We start from the raw sequence: 13,333 nt of genomic DNA, 5'->3' as shown, positions 1-13,333 counted from the left end.
GAACCATTTAGGTGGAACCTTACTAGCAAGACTGTCTCCTCCTGACAATATTTGAATTTGAATGTTTTGCTAGCAAAATGGAGCTTCCTGTTCTGACACCCCTTATAAGATGTTGTCAGCAAGCTGTCACAGCAACCTAAAATATTTGGCTGGGATGGGAGAAAAGCAAAAGGAGCTGTGTTAATCAGGGTATGCAAACGGATTTCACATACAACCCGCAAGCCTCAGTGGATTAGTATAATAAAGATTCATTTCTTGTTCATGTCAACATTCAGTGTGATTTGGTGGTGGGGCTGGTTTTGTGCAATCAGCCAGAGACCCTGGCTCCTCCTGTCTCATGGCGCCATTATCTTCAACAAGTGGCCTCTGAAATCCTTCCTGAACTGCAAGACAGAATGAAAGATTTAGAATGCCAGGTGGAGGAGTGGCAATCATCACGTCCACTCACATTCCACTGGCCAGAAATTGATCCCACAGCCCCACCTACTTGCAAGGGGTCTGGAAAACTCCATGTAAGCGCTGTGCCTGGGAAGAAGAGAAGAGCCTGGACACTGGGGAGCACTATATTCTCAGCCCCATGCACTGAATTAAACACGAGCCATTCATCTTACATTTAATCTTGCACAGCTATGACTGGAGGCTTATGAGGGAGAGTCTTTAGTAGTCAGGATTCTTCTTCTGTGCTATATCCTGGTATTTCCCCCGGATTTTCACATTGGAAGCAGCCTGTTGTATGTGTGTGGTTTTGGATGGTACTGCTGTCTTGAAGTGTTTGTGGACATACATGGGAGCTTAAAGAGTCAGCAGCCTATATTGGTACAGAAAATTGAACATTTAAAGCAAGTGTAAAAGAAGTATTCTTCTGGAGCTCTTGCCAGGATGAGAGACTATTTAATTTCATTACCATAGGAGAAAATGGAATCTGTGCAATCAGCTTTTAAAGTTGTTGCAACCAGAAACTTTGGAGCCTTTGGGATAGGAAAAAAAGTGAAGAGAAACATAACTCATCCCTCTACCTGCAGTCAGCTTGTCCTGATGGCATGGGTGATTTCAGGAATAATAATTGTAATGAGGGAAAGAGAAACAGGATGGGGAAAGCAAGAGGAATACAGCTTTTTATAGCACATATTTTAAGGAAAAATATGGGAGTTGGCAGTGCTTTGGAGATTACAAATAATTTAACCCAAAAGGCAAAGCTATTCTGTGAAGATACAAGTTAGAAAGTATTGGAGAGTTGCCCAGCATCTTCATACTACTTAAAACTGTCTGTCTTTTCCAGTGTGAAGCAGGCAGAGAACATCAGACTACAGCAAAGGACTAGGCGATGACCTCTTAAAAGTCTGCTGTGTCCTAGGTTTGTGTTGCCCATAGGTTGGGAACAGTAGGTGTTGCATGTTTGTGTAGTTTTTTCTTAATTTTGGAGTAATGAATGTATGAAAGAAGCCCTTCTTTGTGACCATTCTGCATGCCAAGCGATATGGTGGCATTTCCTCTACAGACTTTCAGATGAAAAAATTAAATAAGAGGTTTATTTAATATGCAAGAGTTTGTCTGTGATATCCTGATAAGAATAAAAGGCATAAATTGAACATGTACATATACTACAACCTCAAAAAAGTACGCAAAGTTGAGAAAAGTCCTGAAAAGAAATCTTCCGAAATGTTAGCTATTGTTGCCTCTAGGTTAATATTGTATCTTCTTTAACAAAACTTTCTTGTGCTAATTTTTCAAATCAGAAAAAGATAAAGAAATTGAGGAAAAATGTAAATATTTGAAGATGACAAAAAATTATGTTTGTTTTTAAAACTTAGGAAAATTTAGAAAAACAAAAAAGAAATCACTCTTCATTTTCTTCACCCAGAGACTGCCAGGTCCAACATTTGTTATTTGCTTACCATGCTGTCAAATATCTTACAGTTTTTCTAGATTAAAATAATGTTCACAGGGCAAAGGATCTAAATAGACATTTCTCAAAGAAGATATACAAATGACCAATAAGCATTTGAAAATATACTCAACTTTATTAGTCATTAGGGAAATGCAAATTAAAACTACAAAGACATCTACTATACAACACTTTATATCTACTAGGATGGCTAGAATCAGAAAGAGAGATAATAATAAGTGTTGGTGAAGAGGCAGAAAAATTGGAACTCTCCTCCATTGCTGGTGAGAATTGAAAAAGAAGCAACCACTTTTGAAAAAATTCTGGCAGTTCCTCAACAGTTTAAATGTAGAGTTAAGATACAACCCAGCAATTCCACTCCTACATATCTATCCAAGAGAAATGAAAACATACATCTACACAAAAACTTGTACACAAATGTTCATAGCAGCATTGTTCACAATAGCCAAAAAGTGGAAACAACTTAAATATCCATTAACTGATAAGTGGATAAAGAAAATGTTGTATATTCATACAATGAGATATTATCCAGCAATAAAAAGGAATGAAGTATCAGTACATGCTACAATGTGGATGAACCTTGAAAATGTTATGCTAACTGAAATAAACCAGACACAAAAGGCTACATGTTGTTTAATTACATTTATAGAAAATATCCAGTATAGACAAATCTGCAGAGACAGAAAGAGGTTGCCTCTGGCTGGGGAGAGGGGGCATAATAGGAAAATGAGGAGTGACTGCTAACGGGTACAGGATTGGGGGTAGGGAAGGTGATAAAAATGTTCTAAAGTTAATGACGAATGCATAACTTTGTGAATATACCGAAAACCATTGAATTGTATACTCTAAATAGGTGAATGGAATGATATGTAAGTTATTTCTCAATAAAGCACCTTTTAAAAAAGGAAAAGATAATGTGCATGTATCAAAAATTTCAAAGCATATAGAGGAGTCTAAAATTAAACATAAGGTTTTTCTTCTTATCTACCCTCCAACTTGTGGTTCTAGCCTCGTGGGAAGACCACTGTTAGAAGATTCTGGTTTTTTATTCTTCTAGTAGTTACCGTTTTAACATTAAATAATATAATTATATATTATTTAATATATAATTCAATCTCTTAATTGAGCTGTCATTTTTAAAAGTATGTTTAACACTCAACTTTGAAAAGAAAAGAAAGTTGACACAGTTTGACTGTCTCCCACATCCTCTTTCCCTTTCTGCTTTCCAATTTTTCTGAATTTATTTTGGTAATAGTTTCTACTTTTATAACTTCAAATAACATACTCAAGCTTCTATTTCTTGATTTATCAATTTCAGACACCAGCTCTTATCTAGAAGAAGGTAGACTTTAAATGTTTCGTGGCTGTAAACTACATGGGAGAAGTCCCATTAAATAAAATATTGAGTCCTATCAACAGAAGAATGCTCTCTACTCGGTTTAATTATGACATTAAGAACTTAATTCAATGTTTCTCAAAGATGTTTCAAAATTTGGCTAAGTGATAACACGATTATCTGAGAATTGACTATGGTAGGTAAGAGTACTGACCATGTTGCCTAGGTACCAAGAATAAAGAGGCCAAATTCTAGCCTCACCTTAAATTCTTCATAGAATTTACTTGAGGGGTGTTATTTAACATATTTTAAGAAGAGAACACATCTACTGATGGGAATCTGTCAGATGATCACTGGAAAGTTGGACAGACAACCACTGGGACTTCCTTTCCACATGGAGAATGTGTGGTTCTAGAACTCTGAGTTTGTAGGGATGTTCTGCTGTCTCCTATTAGCACTGTATCTCAAGTCTAGTCATGGTGATTATTTTGGATCTTGGACCAGGTGGTGAATAGAGGATGGTAAAGTCTAGTTCAGGACTGGGGCATACTGTGGGACAGAGGAGATAGAGAAGAGTGGAAAGGGAGAGTGGCTTTAAGACACACCCCAGGTATTCCAGTGATACATAATCACTTGAAAGAAATGCTTAACCTCAGCAGCAAACAAACAAACAAACAACAAAAAACCCAACGTGAAGCAGCTCTAAATTCCCATTGCATACTCCTTACAAGGGAAGAATAGACATTAGCGGCCTATTTACTATATACCGTGCCTTGTGCCGATGCTTTGCCTGCACTATCTCATTCAATCCTCAACCCTGAAAACTCATTATCCACATCCACAGATAAAGCAACTGAGACAGAGAGTCGAAGTAAGGTCCCTTAAATTACCAAGAGCAAAGTAATAATTCAAAATCCAGTGTTGACAAGGCTTTGGGAGGACAGATACACTAGGTAAATATTGGTATAATCTTCCTAGAGAACAACTAACAAGAGGCATACAATGATTAAACCTAGGTTCTAGTCATCCCATTTTAGAGAATATGCTCTAAAAACAAAAATATGTAATTAAAAAATGATTGTACAAAACTATTCATTGCACTGATATTTTTAAAATGCTATCAGGCAATAAATCTACTAGCCAATAATTGAAGACTGATTTTGTTATAAACTATCATTAAAAAGTGGTCTTATTTGGACTATATTGATGTGCCAAGAAAATTGTACATAAGACAATGTTAAGACAAAAAAGTAGAACCCAACAGATAGTATGTGAACAGCAAACCGAGTATATAAAATGCCATGTATAGTATTAATTTGTCAGATTCACATAGCTCACAAGTCAGTGCAGATATTTGTTAATTAGATTATTTTTCCCATGAACTTAAGTGCATAACAATGTATTGATTTTAAATTCCCACAAGTAATTCTGTACTCTCTAGCACTGGGATTCATTTGCAGGTTTGAAGAAAGGTATGAGAGAAAGGGGAAGAACTGTTAAACACACGCTGAAAGCAAAGAAGGGTTGCCCCGAAAATCTCTCTTGTGAGTTCCTGAAGACTTTTCCTCTGGGAAGCCACGAATTCTGTTGTGATGTCAATAATGCTCTCTGAGGGAAATTCCCTGAAGGGGAAATAGTGATGTCTCTGCCCTGCCCCTGAACCAATATTTATAGACACACCCATAAATATTGTTCAAGAAGAATTTGTGTTGAAAGCCCATGCCTGCAGAAAAGACTGAGTTGTCTCATCTGAACAAACCCCCAACGTAAGACTAAGGTATTATTCCCATTCTCAGCACTGATCTTGCAGGCCCCCATCCTGAGCCTTCCAACAAACTTTCCTCCTGCCTGCAATGCTCTGATATGCCCATTCTACACAGTTTTAAGACCCCTCTTAATTCCTCCCTGTTCCAGGAAGTCTTCACAGGAAGACATTACCACCTCCTGTAATTCCTATAGCACTTAGAATTCACTTGTTCTGCCAACATTTCATAGACACCTGTCTATCTCTCCGTGAAATGGCAGACTCCATGTGGTGAGAAGCCCTGTGTTTTTTAAATTGTTTTTGGAAACTTCATATTACATTAATACTTAACAGAGTGCTTTAAAATACAGCACAAAGTCTTCAAACAATTATTTGTGAAGTTGCTACCTGTTTCTTTCAAAAGAGATCTCTTTTGTCCATGGTTGCTTTAGTGACTGTTAGTGTTTCAAGCATGGATTTGGGAATCAAATATTCTCTCTCACCCTTTTCTTGCAACTTCAGGCAAGTTTCTCAACTTCCTGGAGACCATTTTCTCATTCATTAAGTAGAGATACAAAATATTTCACAGAACTCTAGTAAGGATTAAAACTAGTCATTCTTCACGTGTCAGCTTAAACATTACTTTGTTCAGGATCCCTTTCTTGACACCTCTCCTCACCTCCAAGTTTAAATGAGAAATGTCTCTCTGTGCTTCCAAACACTCTAAACCAGTGCCATCCAACAGAACGTTCAGCAAGAATATTGTTCCATAATCTGTGCTATTTATAGGTAGCCACGAGCCACATGTGCACTTGAAATGTGGTTAATGTGACCGAGGGACTGATGTGTAAGTATTATTTAATTTTAATTGCTTTTAAATAGTCCCATGTGGCTGGTGATGCCCGGACTGGACCGCACAACTCTAAACAATTCCCATTATAGCGCTTGGTTCACGGTTGATTCTCTCCTACAAGATTGAGGTCTGTGATGAAATTCACCTGGACTATGATGCTCCCCATTATATCCATAGCACCTGGGTCAGGGGCTGTTGCACAGTAAGCTCTCAGCACACCAGTTATCATCATCTTCAATGTCATGTTGCCCAACTTTGTATCCCACGGTTTAGCCCAGCACACACTGTAGATGGTTCATCATTGTTTGCTAATTGAGTTAATTGATTTCTAGACTTACAAACAAACCAATAATCTGTTCCTGGACAATATTCAACCAAAGGGGGTTGCATAAATGTCTTTCTACATTACACATTGTATACAGGTATCAAAATATCACACTGTACCGCATAAATGTGTATAATTACTGTGTGTTCATTAAAAACAATTTTAAAATGTCTTTTAAATAATTTCTCTGTGTGCGGCATAGTGGTTAGAAGCCTCTGCCTGGATTCCAACGCTAGCTCCTCCACTTTCCAGCTACATGACCTCTAGTACATAATTTTTTGTGCCTTAGTTTATTAGTCTGTAAAGTGGGGACATGAATGGTCCTGCCTTATTGAGTTGTTTTAAAGATTATGTGTATTGAGGCTTATGACCACCATTTTACAGGCAATAGAGAGAACAAAGGGCTGCAATGAATTACCCTATTAACATTCAAGCTGCAAAATCCAGATTGTAGGGAATGATAGTCAGGAAACTGAGACAGCCACGCTGTGGGCTTTAGGTAGCAAATCTAAGGGCCAAGACACAACTCTGAGTTTGGTCATCTGGAAGCAAGGGAGGAGAAAAAAATATTTGGCATCATTAGCCTTTACAGTAGAGGGAAGCCTCTCAGCTGAGGAAGAAGTGCTGAGTGAGGAGTGGTTGCTGTGTAGCAATTAATAATGTGGGTCCTAAGATTGTTGGTAAAACTCAATTGCAAAGCTGCCTTCAACTTTGTGTGGACTTAAGTGTGGGTAGCATTTTAGCAAAGAGGACCCCGAAGCTTTAAATTCTGCCTGTAGGATGCTGGCATGTCAGGTGCAGGAGATGTGAGTTAATGGTCTCAACTGTTCCAAGAGTAGCAGCTGCAACAAAAGCTCAGCCCTTTCCTCATACAGAAATGAGAGTGTGAAAGTAGTGGGTGGGATAAGAAGAGAATGAAACCACTGGAAAAAAAAAATGCCTTTTTCTGCTGCTCTCAAGAGTTCCCTGGAGAACCCAAAAAGGACAATCTTTGGTTTCATTGCAGACCTTTCTGCCTTTTGTTCCTTGAAGTCCCAGACATACTTTTTTCTGTTTCATGAACATGCCAAACTATTTTATGCTCAAGGTATTTAAACTTGCTGTTCCCTTTGCTGGGAAGGCTCTCAATCTGGGTCTTCCATGGCCATCTTTTTCCCTTTAAGTAAACCTTCGTTCCTACGTTGTCTTCTTCAATAGGACATTCCTGATCATTGCATTGAAAGATTTCCTGTAATAGCCTAACCTTCCCTCTAACACACACACACACACACACACACACACACACACACACACACACACACACACACAGACATCAGTTTTATTCAATGTATTGATACACATGAGTGAAAGGCTTAGAATAGCACATTATAAGTCTTCGGTATTATTAGGTATCATTTTTTCCATAATACCATTTTGTATCTAAATGTATCTTGTATATTTATATACTGATTTTCAATGGTTAGTCTACCCTTCTTTCTTATTAGCTCCCCAAGAGCAGGGACCTTGGCTGTTTTGTACATTTCCATATCTCTAGCACCGAGAATAAAGCCTGGTACTTGCTGGGTGCTCAATAACCATTGTTGAAAGGGTACATTAACTACAGAAAAAAGTATGACACCGGGAAAAAAAGGCTAAAAGATAATCACTGATAATGTTGGGTAGTGAGCTTCAGAGGTTTGTTTTCTTCTCTCTAGCTTTTCACATATTCCAAATTTTTACAAATAGCATGTGTTCTTTTTAATCCTAAAAGAGTTTAATTTTTGCAAAAAGACTTACGTTGGCATGCCATACAAAAATGTCAGTTGATAAATTTCTGCAGGCATGTTGCAGATTACAACCTTTGGATCTGTATACAACCACTTCTTAAATCAGAAGTCTGACGTTCTTCAGGAAGAACTCTCAGCATTATGTCTCTTGGTATAATAAATACAAATGCAGGCCCTACTGAAAGCCCCCTGGGGGGGGTCTGACAAGTCACATTCCATCAGCGGCCACGTACCATGTGACCAGCCACCCGCCTCTTTATCTCTAGCTCCTTAAGTCAGGAGTTTCATTTGGCTCCAGACCTTGGCACTACGAAGGTCAGCCAAGGTCGGGGCTCAAGTAAGAATGACTCACCCTGCTCTGTGCTCTCCACTGGGCACAGGCTGGAGCATGATGAATGCTGTGATTTTCCAGGCTCAACTCCCAGGAGGTGAGGTTCATTCCCTGAAACACTGGACCATGAAAGAAAACCCAGAGCATCCACCAAAGTGTTGTTTAGCATTTAGAAAACAAAAAAGAAGCCTCTACTGTCTGGTCCTATCCAGTGTAGTTCTGAATCAAAGTTGACCACCCAGTATAAACACCACTTTTTAGGCTTGTGCAAAGGGGGTTAATCATGATGCTTTTTAAAAAATAATGATTGTGCAAGATTGCACACACGCACCCAAGTATTAACAATAATACAATAAGCAATTACAATATCAGGGCCAGGTTTTATAAGATTTTTGTATGCCTGATTTACTTTGGAGTCTCTTGCCTTTAAAAACAAACAAACAAACAAACAAACAGAATATTATAGATACAGTAAAACTACTCCCAATTTCACTCCTTTCCTTCCTTCCCAGTGGCACTCAGTAACATAAAGTAACTTTATCATTCCTTTACATGTTTTTATATATCCATATATTCATAAACTTTGTTAAATTTTTTGCCCATTTTAAACCTTTATATAAGTGTTACCTTATCTTATGTATGATTTTGCAACTTTAATTGTTGTTCAGCATTACATTTATGAGATTTATCTTTGTGGATATATGAGATTTATCTTTGTGGATATATATGTGGATACATTTGCTAGTTTTACATGTCAGCGTGGCTAGATCAGTTAATCAGTTAAACACTAGGTGTTTCTGTGAAGGTATTTTGTAGGTGTGATTAAAGCCTGTAATCAATTGGATTTAAGTAAAGAAGATTAGCCTAGATAATCTGAATGGACTTCATTCAATTGGTTGAAAGGCATTAGAAAGGCAATTGAAAGGCATAGCCAAGGATTCCCTGGAGAAGAAGAGATCCCACCTGTGAACCAAGCTTCAGCTTAGGACTGATGGTTCCAGCCTGCCCTTCCTGACAGTCTCCCCTATGGATTTCAGACATGCCTAGCCAGCCTCCACAATCACACACAAGCCAGTTCCTTGGAATAAACCTCTTAATATATATCTCTCACTAGTTCTCTTTCTCTGGTTGGGCTCTGACTGATGCAATATACTTGTCATTTTATTCATTCATTCATTCCTTTAGAGACAGAATCTTGCTTTATCAGGGTGGAGGGCAGTGGCATAATCATAGCTCATTACAGCCTTGACCTCCTGGGCTCAAGCGATTCTCCTGCCTCAGCCTCCCAAATAGCTGGGACTACAGGCTCCCACTACCATGCCTGGCAAAATTTTTTAATGATTTTTAGAGATGGGGTCTCACCATGTTGCCTGGGCTGTGATTTACTTTTTTTGTTTTGCTATGGATCAGGGGTCAGCAAACTTTTCTTATTAAAGGCCAGGCATTAAATATTTTAGGCTCTGTGTGTCATATGGTTTCTTGCAACTATTGAACAATGCTGTTGTAACACGAAAGCAGTTATACAGACAATACATCAGTGAATACAAGTGTGGCTGGGTTTCAATAAAAGTTTATTTATACATATAGGTAATGGGCTGGATTTGACCCATGGGCTATAGTTTGCTAACCCTTGCTGTGTAGCATGCATTGTATGAATATACCACAATTTGTCTATTCTCCTGTTCATGGACATTTTCTACATTGTTCCTCCATTACCACAAAATGCTGTACCTAGTATTCTTGTATTCATTCTTTGTGCACATGTGCAAGAATTATTCTCTATCTAGAAGTAGAATTGCAGGGTCATGGATTATGTGAATCTTCAACCTAACTAGATAGTGCCAAATTGCATGCTAAAGAAATTGTTTCAATTTATACTGCTATCAATAACAGTGCTTGAGAGTTTCGGTTTCCACATCTTCTGTACCATTGGAATTGTCAGACTTATATATCTGGTGGATACAAAATTGTATCTCATCATAGTTTTAACTTACATTTTCCTAATGAATAATTATGAGAAGCATCTTTTTATGTATTTTTCTCCATATATATCCTCTTTGATAAAGTGTCTGTTCAAATCTTTTGGCCATTTAAAAATTGGATTCTCTTATTGAGCTTTGTGGGCTCTTTATATATTACGGATACAAGTCATTTGTTGGACACAAGTCATTTATGTAGGAAAATATTTGCAAATATTTTCCACCAGTCTGTAGCTTGTCTTTTCATTTTCTGAAGTGTCTTTTGCAGAGCAGAAATTTTAAATTTTTATAAAGCTAAATTTATCAGTGTGTGCTTTTATAAATCATATTTCTAGTGACATATCTAAGAAAACTTTGCTTAAGCCAAAGATTTAAGTATTTGCTTAAATCTTTGCACATTTTTTTTCTATGGTATCTTCTAGAATTTTTATGGTTGAAACTTCTTGCATTTAGGCCTATGATAGTCTACGATGCATTTTTAGTTAACTGTTAACTATTTTGTATTATACAATACAGGATATAAGTTGAAGTTCTCTTTTTTTAGCATATGAATGTCCAGTTGTTCCAATACCATTTATTGAAAGACTTATTTTTCTACCTCATTCGTATCTTTGTCAAAAATCAAGTAACCACCTATGTGTGGGTCAATTTCTGGGCTCTCTGTTCTGTTTTATTAATCTATATGTTATATTTTTCTCAGTATCACACTGTCTTGATTTCTGTGGCTTTATAGTAATTCTTGAAATCAGGCACCGTGAGTTCTCAAATTTGTTCCTCTGTTTTCTTTTTTGTTGTTGTTGTCGTTGTTGTTTTCAAACAGAGTCTCATTCTGTCACCCAGGCTGCAGTGCAGTGGCACGGTCTTGACTGACTGCAACCTCTGCCTCCTAGGTTCAAGTGATCCTCCCACCTCAGCCTCCCGAGTAGATGGGATTATAGGCGCCACCACATCCAGCTGATTTTTATATTTTTACTACCTCACAAATATCACCTATAGTTGAGAGATGAGAAGGCAAAGAAAGAAGACAAAAGAGTGCTAGACAGGAAGGAACTATCCCAAAATCTGGATTACTTGGAGGAATGGTAGGGAAGTTGGAGGGTCTGAAGGATGGAAGTGGCTTTGCAGGCTGGGGTGAAGGGTCGGCAGGGATTGGTGGTGATGAGTGAAACCACTCAGCCTAGCAGATGAATGACCAGATGGCGACAGGAGGGGGCAGGATGAAGCCCCAATTGGGCGATTTAGGGGATGGATGACAGCCCAAGGAGCCAAGTAAGGAGCCTGAGATGATGATAATAAAAATCAATCAAATTATCCATCAATTATCCATCAAAAAGCAATCAAATTATCCATGCTAATTAGTTAGCCAGATGCTTCCATGCATTATCTCCAATCTTCAGTCCACCCTCCCAGAGAGATATCATTGTTCTGGCATTACAGATGCAAAAGCAGAGGGTCCGAGAATCCCAGTGTGGCAAAGCCTGTCTGCCTCTAAAGTACAGCTGCCTTGGATGATACCAGCCTGCCTCCCAACTCATGCCAAGTTTATTCACTCACTCAGCCAGCCAGTCAGCTAGCACCTACTATCTAAGCTATATGCTGAAAACAATAACAATATTTGTCACTAAATGTAACAGAGAACCCTAACTGCATTCTTGTAAAATCCATTTCCTTTCTCAAAATTTTGTTTATAGGACTGTTAGAGCCATTCCAATAATGTACTTTTTTTCATTTTTCTTTTTTTGTTTTTGACAGAGTCTCACTCTGTTGGCCAGGCTGGAGTACAATGGTGTGATCTTGGCTCACTGCAACCTCTGCCTTCTGGGCTCAAGTGATTCACGTGCCTTAGCCTCCCAAGTAGTAGCTGGGATTACAGGCATGTGCCACCAAGCATGGCTAATTTTTGTATTTTTAGTAGAGACAGGGTTTCACCATGTTGGCCAGGCTGGTCTTGAACTCCCAGCCTCAAGAGACCAGCCCACCTCGGCCTCCCAAAGTGCTGGGACTACAGGTGTGAGCCACTGCATCTGGCCCATCAATGCACTTTTGAAGGTGAGCCTCTCTTACTTGGGTTGATGGAGGTGCAGCCTTCCCAACTTAGCAGTTCAGAAATGAGGAAGCTCTCTTTCTGATGGACTGAATCTCCCACCCAAACTAGTCAAGAACAAGAGTAAATATCTGACCAATATAAGGTATGAGAAGTTTCAAAGCAGTGCCTAGTGCTCTTAGCTGCTAATTAGGTTCATAACCACCTGTCACCAGTTGGGGGCATGCGAGGAAAGAATCTTGCCCCTACAGCCCATGATGCATTGCAGGATCTGGACAGCGTGAACATTTAACCCAGGTCTGGTCCACATGGACACATTCAAATAACCTTTCAAGTTATGAAAAGCATTTTATTAATCAGGTGTGTGATCTTTTGGAGTTTAGATTCTAAAGATTATTTTTCATTCTAACGCCTTTTTGAGGACCAAATGTGAAGAAAAGAGGCTCAAATACAGGTGTCAGGATGAGATTTTCTTCTCTCATATTGATTCCTTCTTTCCTAGCCTGGTCCATTTATTCACTTCTACAAAGAAATAAGTTAAAATTACACTTCTATTGGTATAAGCCATGAAAATTATGCTCTGAGACGTGGCTACCATTTGTAGATGTGGTCCCTGGACCAGCAGCCTCAGCATCACCTAGAAATTTACTAGAAATGCGGAGTCTCAGGCCCCAGCCCAGACCTACTGAATCAAAGTCTGCATTTTAATGAAATCCACAGGTGATTTGTGTGCACACTAATGTTGACAAAGCACCAGTGTAGAAATACATAATAGAAGCCTCTACATGACGCTTAGAGACTTTGGACCTCTGGGATGGGGCCAGGTTCATGGAGAGGAATAAACAAAGGTGATGAGGAGGGAAAAAGAAGAAAGATGAAGATCAGAGAGAAGAGGGTGTCCTAATACCCACTCTAGATACACACTGGGCAAGCTGATAGGATGATACGTTGGGAAAAATAAATGCTTGATTCCATTGCCTGGATTCCACATACAATTGCCATTTGTTTCTGATAATGGACTGACTCCCCTTTCATCCTTACAGGTATTG

This window comes from Homo sapiens, chromosome 9 (genome assembly GCF_000001405.40).
Source record: "Homo sapiens chromosome 9, GRCh38.p14 Primary Assembly".
Classification (NCBI taxonomy): Eukaryota; Metazoa; Chordata; class Mammalia; order Primates; family Hominidae; genus Homo; species Homo sapiens.
This window is presented reverse-complemented; position numbering follows the sequence as displayed.